This window comes from Homo sapiens, chromosome 1 (assembly GCF_000001405.40).
Source record: "Homo sapiens chromosome 1, GRCh38.p14 Primary Assembly".
NCBI lineage: Eukaryota > Metazoa > Chordata > Mammalia > Primates > Hominidae > Homo > Homo sapiens.
The window spans coordinates 204,117,512-204,130,890 of NC_000001.11; the positions used below are offsets into that span (position 1 = coordinate 204,117,512).

A 13,379-nucleotide genomic window follows, 5' to 3' on the forward strand; every position below is an offset into this window, starting at 1 on the left:
CATTCTCTGTGCCATGGGCTGACCATAGCTGGGTAGCTCTTTGGGTCCCTGGGGACTCACACAGGGTTTCTTTGCCTTCAGCAGGTTAACATGCCTTATGTCATGATCCCAGCCTTCCCCCCAAGCCACCAACCTCTGCCTGTCACCCCTGACTCCCAGCTGGCCTTACCCATTCAGCCCATTCCCTGCAAACCAGGTGAGTGTGAGAAGGGAGGTTCCACCACTGCGGCCAGCCTGTCCTGAGGTCAGGGAAAGCGCCCTGGAGCCACTCTCATCCATTAATTTGCTATGTGGACTTTCTGGGCCTCAGTTTTGGATCTGTCTGGTAGAAGAATCATCCTCTTTTTCTGAATCTTGCTGAATTTCTCTGAACTTCACTGGGAGAATGAAAAACCATAAAGCCCTTTCCAGATGTAAAATGATGTAGCAATCCAGGTCTAGTCTCTCCAACTCTAGTACATTTACTGTGTCAGAGTATTAATATCTGGAATATTGCCAGGTGTGGTGGCTCACGCATGTAATCCCAGCACTTTGGGAGGCCGAAGTGGGTGGATCACTTGAGGTCAGGAATTCGAGGCCAGCCTGGCCAACATGGTGAAACCCCATCTTTACTAAAAATACAAAAATTAGCTGGGTGTGGTGGTGCATGCCTGTAGTCCCAGCTACTCAGAAGACTGAGGCAGGAGAATCGCTTGAACCTGGGAGGTGGAGGTTGCAGTGAGCTGAGATCATGCCACTGCACTCCAGCCTAGGTGACAGAGCGAGACTCCATTTCAAAAAAAAAAAAAAAATCTGGAATATTAACTGGGTTTTACAAATCTCCCAAATTCTTTTTTGTTTGTTTGTGTTTTGTGTTTTGAGACAGAGTCTTACTTGTTCTGTCACCTGGGCTCTGGAGTGCAGTGGTGTAATCTCAGCTCACTGCTGCAGCCTCCACCTCCCATGTTCAAGCGATTCTCCTGCCTCAGCCTCCTGAGTAGCTGGAATTGCAGGTGCACACCACCATACCTGGCTAATTTTTGTATTTTTAGTAGAGACGAAATTTCGCCGCGTTGCCCAGGCTGGTCTCCTGACCGCAAGTGATCCTCCCGCCTCAGCCTCCCAAAATGCTGGGATTACAGGCGTGAGCCAACATCTCCCAAATTCTAACAGCCACGATTCCTACCTTCACACTCTTGTCCCTGCCTACACCATGTCACTCTGGCCTTCTACCCCATCACTGAAATTCAGCAGAATGGCCATGTGTCAGACAAGGGTGTGGGACCTGACGGTACAGGGCAGTTGGGGAGGGAGCATGGAGTCTGGGATTTATTTTGTAGGCTGTGGGGTGCATGTGAACATTTGAGAAGTGAGTGTGTCGTTCTGGCTTTGAGGGGTGGGGAGTGGAGGGGAGACTGGCCAGAAGCAGGACCTGCTAGGTGATTCTAGCAGCAGGGGATGATACCTGAACTAGGGCAGTGACAGAGAGTTATGGGGACAGGGCAGAGATGCTGCCCATAATTACCCCAGGAGTGTGGACAGCTTTAAAGGCAACACGTGCTAGATCATCCTCCCTGTTCCACAGGCGAGAAAGAGAGAGAGAAGAGGAAATTCCCTGAGGCCTATAGGCCATGGGCTTGGGTAGACTGCTCAGCCCCACTGGCTCTCTGCTCCTGCCTGGTTTGTGCCGGGCACTGTAGGGTGGTGTGAAGGGGAAACACAAAGGACTGAGAAAGCCAGGCCCCATCTTCATCCATTCAGGGGCTGTAGAAAGACACCATGGACCGTGTGGCTCATAAACAACAGATGTTATTCCTCACATACAGTTCTGGGGGCTGTGAATTCCAAGATCATAAAGCCAGCATATTTGGTGTCTGGTGAGGGCTGACTTTCTGGTTCACAGATGGCGTCTCTCACTGTGTCCTCAGGTGGTGAAAGGGGTAAACGGGCTCCCTCAGGCCTCTAATCTCATTCCTGAGGGCTCCACCCTCATGACCCAGGCACCTCCCAAAGGTCCCACCTCCTAAGTCTATCACATTGGGAATTAGATTTCAACATAGGAATTGGGGTGGGGGAGGCACATTCAGACCATAGCATTCTGCCCCAGACTCTCCCCAGTTCATTTTCTTGTCATATGCAAAATATATTCATTCCATCCCAATAGGCTCCCAAATCTTAACTTGTTCCAGCATCAGTTCAAAAGTTTCAAGTCCAGAGCCTCATCTAATCTCACCTAGGCCAGGCACAGTGGTCATGTCTGTGATCCCAGCACTTTGGGAGGCTAAGGCAGGAGGATTGCTTGAGGCCAGGAGTTCAAGACCAGCCTGGGCAACAAAGTGAGACCCTGTCTCTACAAAAAAAAAAAAAAAGCCTGGCATGGTGGCCTGTGCCTGTGGTCCCAGCTACTTGGGAGGCTGAGGCAGGAGGATTGCGTGAGCCCAGGAGGACAAGGCTGTAGTGAGCTGTGTCTGTACCACTGCACACCCTCCTGGGAGACAAAGCGAGACATACAGAGTGAGGCCCTGTCGCAAAACAGACAAAAATAATAATAAATCTCACCTAAATCAGTTATAGGTAAGACTCAAGGTATAATTCATTCTGAAGCAAATTCCCCTTCAGAACTGAGGCATGAATTTCTGAGGTCTGTAAGCTGTCCAGTTTATGGCACTTTGTTTCAACAGCCTGAGTAGACTAAGACAGGCCCAATGTGGAAGTTTCCAGTTAGCTGGGGGAATGGGGAGTGGAGAAGGTTGAAGGTGGAGGACAGGGCAATTCCAAACCATTGCAACTCCCCATGAGTGTGGAGGAGAGCTGTGGAGGCAAGGGGACAGTGATCTGGTCGGGGATAGGACCCCCAACTGCTTTCTGGGCAGGTAAGGCAGTAAATAAGCTGTGGGAGCCCGGGACTGGCATGGCTGCCTCCCACTTTGTTTGCTCCAGAAATTAAGCAAGCAAGGTCCCTTGCAAAAGCTGACTGTAAACAGTGGCCCTCCCCAGCTCACAAGCCTTACATGGTGCTCTGTACCCACAGCATGGGCTCCGTACTCCTGACCTCGGCCTTCATGGGCCTCGGGGCCAACCTGGCCCCCATGGCCTGCCTCATTCCCCACAGCTCACCCTCACACACCCCACCACTCCATCTCTACTTGCCCAAATCCTGCCCATCCTGCAGGCACTAGCGCACACCTCGGCTCCCACAGGGAGCCTGCTCTAGTTACCCCAGCTGGAGCAGAGTTTGCTGGTGCTCTGTCTGTGTGGCCCTCATCACCACCTGCCATGCACTTCATGATTTCTACATGTGGCCTATCTCTCCACCTGGATGCTGGGCCTGGGAGTGAGGTAGGGTAGGCAGGAGTGCCATGTCGAGAAGAAGGAAAGGCTGTGGAGTCTAGAGGCCCTGGGTTCAAATCCTGATGCTGCCATTTCATAGCTCTGTGGACAACCCATTTTTCTTCTTATTTTTATTTTTTTAGTTTTGAAAATTTTAAATTCTTTTTTTTTTTTTTTGAAACAGAGTCTCGCTCTGTCCCCCAGGTTGGAGTGCAGTGGTGCAATCTCGACTCACTGCAACCTCCGCCTCCTGGGTTCAAGCGATTCTCCTGCCTCAGCCTCCTGAATATCTGGGATTACAGGCGCGTGCCACCGCACCCGGCTAATTTTTGTATTTTTAGTGGAGATGGGGTTTCACCATGTTGGTCATGCTGGTCAGGGTGGTCTCGAACTCCTGACCTTGTGATCCACCCACCTTGTCCTCCCAAAGTGCTGGGATTACAGGCGTAAGCCACCACGCCTGGCTTCAATTCTTAATAATAGAGATGGGGGTCTTGCTATGTTGACCAGATTGGTCTTGAACTCTTGGCCTCAAGCAGTCTTTCTGCCTCAGCCTCCCAAAGTGCTAGGCATGAGCCACCACACCCAGCCCCATTTGACTTCTAAGGTTTTCATTTCTTTTTCTGTAAAATGGGATGATGATGTATTCAGCCCCTGTTATATATCACATACCATGTATTATTGTCAGATGATACATATGAGACGTTCTACACAACAGGCAGCCGCTTTTGTGCCCTGTGCCCAGTAGGTACAAAATAAAAGTAGCTGTTGGATGAATAGGTGTTTTACCCTCTCTCATTGTGCCATTGGATGGGACTCTAGAATCTGGGAAACTCTATTTAGAGTGGGTTGGGAAGGGCGGGAACCCAGTGAAGATGCCAGTCAGTGTGCAGGGGCAGTGTGGAGTGAGGGGATAGGAGCCTCCAAGCAGTGCTTTGGGGCTGGGGAGGGCAGTGGTTGGAACCAAGCTGGTCCAGTGCCGAGCCATTGCCCATCTTGTGGTGCTGGGACCTCGTCAAGCAGGGTGTCTGCTGTTCTGTGCTCATCCAGGACTTTTCTCCTTGCTGCCTTTTCCATAGTGGAGTATCCGCTGCAGCTGCTGCACAGCCCCCCTGCCCCAGTGGTGAAGAGGCCTGGGGCCATGGCCACCCACCACCCCCTGCAGGTACCGCCCTCTACCCACTGGCCTGGGGCTCCCTCTCGAGCTTATGACGGCCGGCTGCCGTGTTAGGGAACTGCGGGGTGTGGACTGGTGAGCCCTGGCATCCTGTGTTCTTGTTCACCCGCTCCTTCTGCGTCCACTTTTCTGTCTGTCTCCTTGTGTGTTCTGGGTATGCTCACCTCACTTCCTCTCTGTCCTGCTGTGGGAGTGTCCTTTGGTGTCTGTCATCCTCTGACCTGCTGGGTCTCCCTCAGGAGCCCTCCCAGCCCCTGAACCTCACAGCCAAGCCCAAGGCCCCCGAGCTGCCCAACACCTCCAGCTCCCCAAGCCTGAAGATGAGCAGCTGTGTGCCCCGCCCCCCCAGCCATGGAGGCCCCACGCGGGACCTGCAGTCCAGCCCCCCGAGCCTGCCTCTGGGTAAGCCTCCTGCTGCCTGCACTTGTCCCTCAGCCCTCTTAGGGGAGAGCCGGCGGCATGATGCGACCTTGAGCAGGTCCCTTCTCCTCCCTGGGTTCCAGATTTTATCAAATGAGGGGTTAGACTTGCTCTTAGCAGAAGATCCCCTTCTTCCTCTCCCTCATCATATCTGTCTGGGCATTCCAAGCATCAGGGATTCAGGCCAGAGTCACATAGTTCCAGGGGGTACTGTTGTCATTTCTAGTCTATTGACATGCACAATAACTAGCCAGTGTAAGTGGCATATCCCTGAGGACATGCAATGCAGCCGCCCTGTGGAAGAACAGGAGGGAACACTAACTCAGGTGCCTCATGGGAGTGGCATGGCGGGAAGCTGATGGAGTTTGGGCTCATGCTGGGCTGATGCCCTCAGCTTCTCTCGCTTCTCTTCCCTCTCTTCTGCCCTCTCCCACAGGCTTCCTTGGTGAAGGGGACGCTGTCACCAAAGCCATCCAGGATGCTCGGCAGCTGCTGCACAGCCACAGTGGGGCCTTGGATGGCTCCCCCAACACCCCCTTCCGTAAGGTATGGTCCCCCACTCCCTTGAGCCTAGGGGCAGCAACAGATGGTGGCCAGGAGTGGAAGACACAGTCTGAGGCCACCAAGAGAGGAGCATGGGGAGGAGTGGGGTGATGCAGAGGAGGCTGATGTCAGGTTGCCCCTGTCAACCTAGGACCTCATCAGCCTGGACTCATCCCCAGCCAAGGAGCGGCTGGAGGACGGCTGTGTGCACCCACTGGAGGAAGCCATGCTGAGCTGCGACATGGATGGTGAGGGCTCAGGCGCAGGGCTGATGCGCAGGAGGGCCCAACTCTGTATTCCACCAGGGCCAGGGCTGTGTCTGCCTCTGATCTCTTCCCTCCCTTGGTCTGTTGGGTCCTTTCCAGGTGTGTGTGCCTCTGCTGTCCCATTATGTGTCTGTCGGCTCTGTCTCTGAGTCTGCTTTCCTAAGTTTTGTGACTGCTGAGTTTCTGCTCTCTCTTGAGGCCATACCGCTGTGATTTTCTTGTGTGTCTGTCTCTGGTTCCCTGGCTGGGCCTCTGCGGATAATTTGCTGTTTCTTCTGCCCCATCTGCTCCTGCCTTGCTCCTCCTCGGCTGGCTGCTGTGGGAGCCTCCTCAGTGCCTCCTGCTGGTCAAGTAGGGGACGTCTCTCTGCTGGCCCTGGGGCACTCTCCTGACCCCAGACAGGCTGCTTGGCTGACTTCACTCCTGTCTCCCAGGCTCCCGCCACTTCCCCGAGTCCCGAAACAGCAGCCACATCAAGAGGCCCATGAACGCCTTCATGGTGTGGGCCAAGGATGAGCGGAGGAAGATCCTGCAAGCCTTCCCAGACATGCACAACTCCAGCATCAGCAAGATCCTTGGTAAGGGCCAGTGGCTGGGGCCATGGTTCAGTGTGACCTGGTTGCAGGAGCCAGCTGGGTCTATTCAGGGCTTGCTTGGTGATATTCCATACTGTGTTGGACTCCAGTGGAATCTGACGACAGGGGTGCAGGAGTTGCTGGGGATGTGAGGGCAGCTGGGTCCTGGGGTCTTATATCACTGAAGTGTTCGGTAGCACCTGTCCTCAAGAACTCAAGGAGTGTGCGTGTGTGTGTGTTTACATTCTTTAGTACTCCTGATCTAAACCTAACCTGTTCCACTGTTTGTCCAGACCCTTGCTCTGGCAGAAAACAGGAGAGACTAGTGTTCCTGGGCTGTCACTAGAAAGATTTTTTTAAATTATATGTCCTGATTGGTGGCCACGGAGGGATGTTGGGCAGGGCAGATGGAGCTCGAGGGGCCAGTTGTTTTCAAGACTGAGGCTCCTCCAGTGTCAGCGCAGGACTCTGTCAACTGAGACATCAGGTATTTTGTCCTGAGCAGGGAGCCTGTCTGGGTTGTTGAAGGTCTGAGGTGGCTGCTCTTTTGTTTATGCAAATCAGGCAGGCCAGAGGCTCAAGGAAGTTGCTGGATTGTTAGGAACATGGGTGGGTACTGAGTCTTAAGCTGGCAGTTGGATATCCCTATACAGGCCAACTTCATTCATTTGCCCAATATCCAAGGAGCACCCGTATCGGGCCAGGCCCTTGCTAAGTGCTTGCACATATATTATCTTATGGACCCACCTGGGGATCAAGGTCTTCTCAGGTCCTGCATGGGGCTGGGGGTGGTCAGCAGAGCCCAGCACTGACTGCCTGCCCCTGGGGGGTTGGGTCAGGATCTCGCTGGAAGTCCATGACCAACCAGGAGAAGCAGCCCTACTATGAGGAACAGGCGCGGCTGAGCCGGCAGCACCTGGAGAAGTATCCTGACTACAAGTACAAGCCGCGGCCCAAGCGCACCTGCATCGTGGAGGGCAAGCGGCTGCGCGTGGGAGAGTACAAGGCCCTGATGAGGACCCGGCGTCAGGATGCCCGCCAGAGCTACGTGATCCCGTGAGCAGGCCCCCCCGCAGGCAGCCAGGAGACTGTGTGTACATGTGTAGCTCTCATGAGTGGCTGGGTGTCAGTGTGTGGCCTGCCTTTGTGTGTGACCCCAGGGGTGCTGTGTGTATGCGTACGTGTGTGTGTTATCTGTGTATAGCTGAGCCTGCACGTGCGACCCGACTGTGTATGGCTATGTATGTGACTGTGGTGAGCACTCAGTGGCTGAGGATGTAGGAATGTGACTGGAGGACTGGCCACGTGGACCTGGAGAAAGTGCCTGTAGATCCCACGGCCGATAAACTCAATAGAAATTCAGAGGTGCTAGAAATCAAAGTATTCATCACACAGAAAGGTTCCTGACTTGACTAAAGCAAGCACCCTAGTCTATTCCTTTAAACAGGACATCTCCCAGGGCATTTAAAATATACAATTTCTGCCTGGTATAGTGACACACGCCTGTAATGCCAACACTTTGGGAGGCTGAGGCAGGAGGATCCCTTGAGCTCAGGAGTTTGAGACCAGCCTGGGCAACATAGTGAAACCTCATCTTTAAATAAAATTAGCCAGGTGTGGTGGTTCACACCTGTAGTCCCAGCTACTCAGGAGGCTGAGGCAGGCTCAGGAGGATCACTTGAGCCTGGGAGGCTGACGCTGCAGTCAGCTGTGATTGTACCACTGTTCTCCAGCATGGGTGACAGAGCATGACCCTGTCTCTAAATATAAGTAAACAAAACATAAAATATACAAGTTCTAAAAACTGGATTCACACATGATCCTCCAAGAATATTATCTGTTGAACACATCTATGGCCCTAGGTCTGCAGGTCATCTGCAGGGTCGTAGGTGCCAGTGAATTTGGCCATCAGAAAGCAGGCTGGGGGCAGGGTATATAAGTCACAGCCAAGAGTGTGTGGAGTGGGAGTGCATGCTCTGAGGAGGCCTGGAGGGGAGATGGGTTTGGGGTTGAATCAAGTGTGCATCCATCACCGTTCCCCTTCTCTGCCCCACAGCCCGCAGGCTGGCCAGGTGCAGATGAGCTCCTCAGATGTCCTGTACCCTCGGGCAGCAGGCATGCCGCTGGCACAGCCACTGGTGGAGCACTATGTCCCTCGTAGCCTGGACCCCAACATGCCTGTGATCGTCAACACCTGCAGCCTCAGAGAGGAGGGTGAGGGCACAGATGACAGGCACTCGGTGGCTGATGGCGAGATGTACCGGTACAGCGAGGACGAGGACTCGGAGGGCGAAGAGAAGAGCGATGGGGAGTTGGTGGTGCTCACAGACTGATCCCGGCTGGGTGGGCCTGGCCCCTTCTCCTCTGGGGAAGACCTTGTCCCAACTCGATGGGCACAGCCAGCCAACCTAAGACTATGTTGGTACTTGGACTTGTTCGTGCCCCAGAGATGGGCAAAGCTGTGCACTTGCAGATACATTCATGAGGGGAGAGGCGCCCTCCCTTCCTGAGGAGCTGTTGGCCTGGGTGGGCAGGAACTGCAGTATGGCCATGGGCTGAGCAGGCTGAGCACCTCAGCCTTTAGGGCTTATGGCCAGGGGACACTGTATGACTCTCCTCTCCTGCAGGTGTCTATCCACCTGGGGTATGGCATCTACCGACCTGTCTCCCTGGGGTCACATGCTTTGTTTCCATTCTTGTCCTGGCTGGACCAGCCACTGTGGGACCAACACCCCTCCCACACTCCCCCAGACTGCTCGTCTATCACCAGGATCGCTTTGTACTTTGTGCAAAAGGGTCTGGCTGTCCCTTGCTGTTTTCATCTCTGCCAAGCCTATTGTGCCTCTGGCTGCTGTATGTGTGCGCGTGCACGTGTGTGTGTTTCATCTGTTCATTCACTGCACAAGATATTTATTGAGTGCCCACTACGTGCCAGGCACTGTTGCTGAGTTCCTGTGGGTGTGTCTCTCGATGCCACTCCTGCTTCTCTGGGGGCCTCTTTCTGTGCTTCTCTTTGTCCCCAAATTGCTACCTCTTTGTCAGTCTGGGTGTCTCAGGTTCTGTGTGTCCTTGTGTGCATTTCTGTCTCTCTCTGTCCTCGTCTCTCTGCAAGGCCCTCTATTTCTCTCTTTCTTGGTGTCTGTCCTTTGCCCCCTGTGCCCTCTGGATTCTCTGGGTCTATGTAGGCCCCTGGTCTGCCCTGGGCTCATCAGCCTTCCTGACCTCCTCCTGCCCTCCCCTTCACTCCCTCCCTGGCTCTGCCAGTCGGTTCCCACGGAGCCATTTTTAGCTCTGATCAGCATGGGAATGTGCCTCGGCCTCCAAGGGGCTTTGTCCTGGTGCCCCCGCCCCTGGTCCCAACCTGATCCCACGAGGGAGTTGGGACAGGAGGATTGATGGTGCTCCCCTTCCTGCCAGCGTCAGAGGCCCTGGAGAGGGGCTGTCCATGGCAGCTGGTCTTTATTCCTCCCTCATGAGCACAGGGTCGGGGGGGTCCCCATTCTTGGAAGAGGTTGAGAAGACTCCTGGGCTTCAGCCTCTCCCACCCAGCCCTGCCCCTCACCTGCCTGCCCTCCCCTCCCCCACTCTATACTAGGGACTGGATCTCAGCCTCTGATCAGTTTCACAAAGTTTGTTCCCTAAGGAAATCAAATCCCATTGTCACCTAACTCTGAAGATCTAAATAGCCCTTGGATCAGTATGGGAACCCCAAATCCCACAGGGCCAGATGTGGAGTCTGTGTCTGCCCCCGTCTTCTCTCCATCCTCAAAGCCCCCACTTCTCTCCAGGCTGTTTCTTTTTTTATGACTGTAAACATAGATAGTGCTTTATTTTGTTAATAATAAGATAATGATGAGTAACTTAACCAGCACATTTCTCCTGTTTACACTCGGGGGATTTTTTTGTTTTCTGATGACATAATAAAGACAGATCATTTCAGAATCTGGCCCTTGTGCAGGGGAGGAGGGAGGCTGGCCTAAGTCCAGAATTCCCAAATATGCCACCAGCCTGGGCACCACTGTCCCCTGGTGGCAGCCTGCAGGAGCTTCAGGCCTGGGGCCTCAGAGGAATTGGCTTAATGCAAGGGAATCCCAGGCCAAGCTTGTGAGTGACACATGCCCTCCACAGAGCCCACGCTGAATGCCCCTACCTTGACGAGGTGAGGCCACCCGGATCCTAAGAAAGAAGGCAGTAGTAAGAGCACTGTAATAGGAGTCATGAAGCTCGGGGTCTCTCTAGAACTGGCCACATGGCTGGGGTTGGGGAGTGGGAGCCAGGTCTCTCCTTTGGGGCCTCATTGTCCTCATCTGACAACAAGATTAAACCTTATACCTGGTTCTTACCATTCAGAGAAGTAGCCCTTTGAGACTCTAATGAAAGCTGTGGATCCTTTTCTTAGAAAAGGGCCCACAAAGGTTTACCCTGAAGCCCATCTGAGGCCCCTACGATGCTAATTAATGAAGCAGGGTCTCTAATGATAATGCTTCAGGGCTCTCTATCCATGACACATGCTTTGAGTGAACACTTCAGACCTAGTTATCCCATTAGGAGAAGTAATAGGCCTGCAAGGGCCGGATGACAGACTGAAACACCTCAAAAATGCATATTAACCAGGCTCTAGAGAGACACATCTTGTAGTGAAAAATTAATCCCATCAGTATAGAGTGGGGACAGCAAAACCGAATGGCAGTAGTTCTTGTGGAAGAGTTGGACTTGGGCTGCATTAATAGAGGCTTGTGTTCACAACAGGGGAGGTGATGGTCCAGTGTACCCCACACAGACCTAGTCCCAGGGGTAGCGTGCCCTTCCTCGCCCCCTCACTAGGGAAGTCTCACAATGGAGGGGCCCTGAAGCAGGCACCCCACATGGAGGAGCACAGGAGGGATCCTGGTGCACATTGTCCTTAGAGGAATAGTCAGAAGGGTCAGGCGTGTTTCCTCTAGAAAAGAAGACAGAGTTGGACAGAAAGGACAAGATTGCTTTCTCCAAAACTGCCAGGTGGGCAAAGTGTAGTATTGCACAAAGTTCATGAGGCAGAACTTGAGCTCCTGGATGAGGTTCAAGACTGTCTTGACATAAAGAACACCTTTTCCACAAAAAAGAGTGAACTTCCCAACTCAAGTCCTCAAGCTCTTGAGTACTGGTGGAGGGATTTCTAGATTGGAGAGGGTAGTGGTGAGAGAGGGTAGGTGTGGTGGTTGATTCTAGGGCCACAAAGTTGGGAGGGTGTGGAATGGAGACTGCCCAAGAATTAAGGGCCCAGCCATTTGGTATGGGGAGCGTCCTGAACGCTGGCTGGCTGTTTTTTCCCCAGCCCGGGTTCTCAGAGCCTCCTCTCCTTCGCCCTCCCCACGCCACGTCTGGAAAAGATGCAGGCAGAGGTGGGAGGAGGAGCTGGCGGCGGCGCCTGCCCCCTGGTGGTCACGATGGAGAGCTGCCCATTGCACCTCCCACTCCCCTCAGCCCTCTGCCCTCCGGCCCTCCGCTCTCCGCCCTCCCCTCTCCGCCCGCCCCTCTCGGCCCCCGGCCTCCTCCACTCCACTGGTGGGTCCAAACCATGTCCTGCCAGTCTCAAGACTCTCCCAGCCTGGCTCATTCCCACCTGTCGGTCCTGAGTTCCTCTTCCCTCCCGCAAGTCCTCTTGTCTTGCCTGCCTTATTCCCTCTGCTGAGACACAGTTGCGGGTCCTGGAGCCCCACCCCTGTCTCATGAGAGGCAGGATGGGGCCAGGTGGTTGGAGAGGCCAGGAGCAGAGTGCTGTGGTCATTACCAGGAAAGCTGGGCTACAAGTTCGTCCCCTCCGTGCGTCTCCGGCAGAGACCGAGGGGCAGAGCCCGTTGGGAAGGTGAATGTGCCCAGGAGTCCTTTAACTAGAGCTCTTTGCTAAGAGTCCTGGAAGGGGCCCGAGGGGGTGGAACCCGGATCACACTGGGAGGCTCCCAGGCCTGGTGCTCAGCCAGGAGGACAGGAGTGCTGGTTAGCCTGGGGTGGCAGTGAAAGGAGCCAAGGTGGAACTCCCAGACTTTGAGGAACAGGGTTGTGTTCCCTGCCACCACACCGGCTCACTCCCCTGGAGGACTGGGGGAAGGAGAATGCTTTCTCAGAGGCGGCAGTGGGATGATGTCTGCTGTTAATTCCTTCCCATACAGATGGTGGTCAGGACCTTAGGGGCACAGGACAATACCCGGGGGGGGGGGGGGGGCTCTGTCCCAGCCATTCCCTACTCACCACTGCAACACTTATCTCCAGCGCAACAGCATCAAGACCCAGGAGGCTGGAAACAAAGCTGGCTTCACAGTGTTAATTCTGCCCTCAATTCCAGAGGTGGCTCAGAGAGGAAGAAGGAGCGGGGACACTGCTATTTAGTCCAGACAGGTAGTGTCTATGATGACCACCTGACCCCACAGGTGACCCCAGGGGGCCCCTACCTGCCCAGCCCTGGCACCATCCCTATGCCTGGGCACCTCTTTCGCTCGTGTCCCCCCACTGTCACCCCCCGAGGCTGCTGCCCATGGAGGGCCTGGCTATGCTGGATCACCATGACCTTGAAAGCTCCAGCTGCAGGTGCCAGCTCCAGTGGTTGCCATGGCACCAGGGTGCTTTTTGCAGGCAAAAGCCAAACAACCAGAGTCCACCTGGCAGGCTGCTGCTGCTGTTGCCTCTGCTGCCCCTAAGGGCACTGGGCACTTACTGGCAGGGGGGCAGTCCTGGAGCAGCTGCTGCCCAGTGCACAGCCTGGGAAGTATAGCCGGAGTGACTGGGCTGCCAAGAGGGGTGCCCCCTTCTCATCTTTGAGTTTCTGCTCTTCCTTCTGGCCTTCTGAAAAAGTGACGGATTGGTTCCAGAAATCACTCCTGCCTGTTCTCAGGCAGAGCAGCCCCTTCCCCACCCCACTGACAGCTGGGAGCCAGACATGACCGAGGAAGGTGTCCTGAGCACTTCTATTTAGAATGTCACTGGTTCATCTCCTGGGTCAACCAAAGTCCTTGTAATCCACAGCCTAGTTCCCCCTAAGCAGTGCTTTACCGGGTTTAACTGGTAGGTTCTACTAAGAGAGTCAAAGGCACAGAAGCTGAGTGAGAGAAATAG

General features: G+C 54.3%; 1 protein-coding gene across 4 annotated transcripts in view, besides 4 other annotated features; it reads left to right on the plus strand.

Moving 5' to 3' along the window:
- SOX13 (SRY-box transcription factor 13) overlaps positions 1-10,232 on the plus strand; it is a 54,629-nt gene extending 44,397 nt beyond the window's left edge. For 2 of the 4 annotated variants that reach the window (NM_005686.3, XM_047435006.1), the window contains exons 7-14: positions 82-196; positions 4,389-4,474; positions 4,726-4,888; positions 5,343-5,452; positions 5,601-5,697; positions 6,150-6,293; positions 7,130-7,346; positions 8,347-10,232. In NM_005686.3, the coding sequence (NP_005677.2) occupies positions 82-196; positions 4,389-4,474; positions 4,726-4,888; positions 5,343-5,452; positions 5,601-5,697; positions 6,150-6,293; positions 7,130-7,346; positions 8,347-8,623 (1,209 nt within the window). In that variant the 3' untranslated portion in view covers positions 8,624-10,232. The remainder of the gene's footprint in view (positions 1-81; positions 197-4,388; positions 4,475-4,725; positions 4,889-5,342; positions 5,453-5,600; positions 5,698-6,149; positions 6,294-7,129; positions 7,347-8,346) is intronic. The other 2 variants (XM_005245623.4, XM_047435007.1) reach the window with 1 other exon arrangement.
- Positions 8,016-8,517: an enhancer, noted in NCBI's record as "H3K4me1 hESC enhancer chr1:204094655-204095156 (GRCh37/hg19 assembly coordinates)". NCBI's record gives its function as "activates a minimal SCP1, AML or CMV promoter by ChIP-STARR-seq in naive H9 embryonic stem cells {active_cell/tissue: H9 hESC(naive)}" and the evidence as "EXISTENCE:reporter gene assay evidence [ECO:0000049][PMID:30033119]".
- Positions 8,518-9,017: an enhancer, noted in NCBI's record as "H3K4me1 hESC enhancer chr1:204095157-204095656 (GRCh37/hg19 assembly coordinates)". NCBI's record gives its function as "activates a minimal SCP1, AML or CMV promoter by ChIP-STARR-seq in naive H9 embryonic stem cells {active_cell/tissue: H9 hESC(naive)}" and the evidence as "EXISTENCE:reporter gene assay evidence [ECO:0000049][PMID:30033119]".
- Positions 12,368-12,871: an enhancer, noted in NCBI's record as "H3K27ac-H3K4me1 hESC enhancer chr1:204099007-204099510 (GRCh37/hg19 assembly coordinates)". NCBI's record gives its function as "activates a minimal SCP1, AML or CMV promoter by ChIP-STARR-seq in primed H9 embryonic stem cells {active_cell/tissue: H9 hESC(primed)}" and the evidence as "EXISTENCE:reporter gene assay evidence [ECO:0000049][PMID:30033119]".
- Positions 12,872-13,374: an enhancer, noted in NCBI's record as "H3K4me1 hESC enhancer chr1:204099511-204100013 (GRCh37/hg19 assembly coordinates)". NCBI's record gives its function as "activates a minimal SCP1, AML or CMV promoter by ChIP-STARR-seq in primed H9 embryonic stem cells {active_cell/tissue: H9 hESC(primed)}" and the evidence as "EXISTENCE:reporter gene assay evidence [ECO:0000049][PMID:30033119]".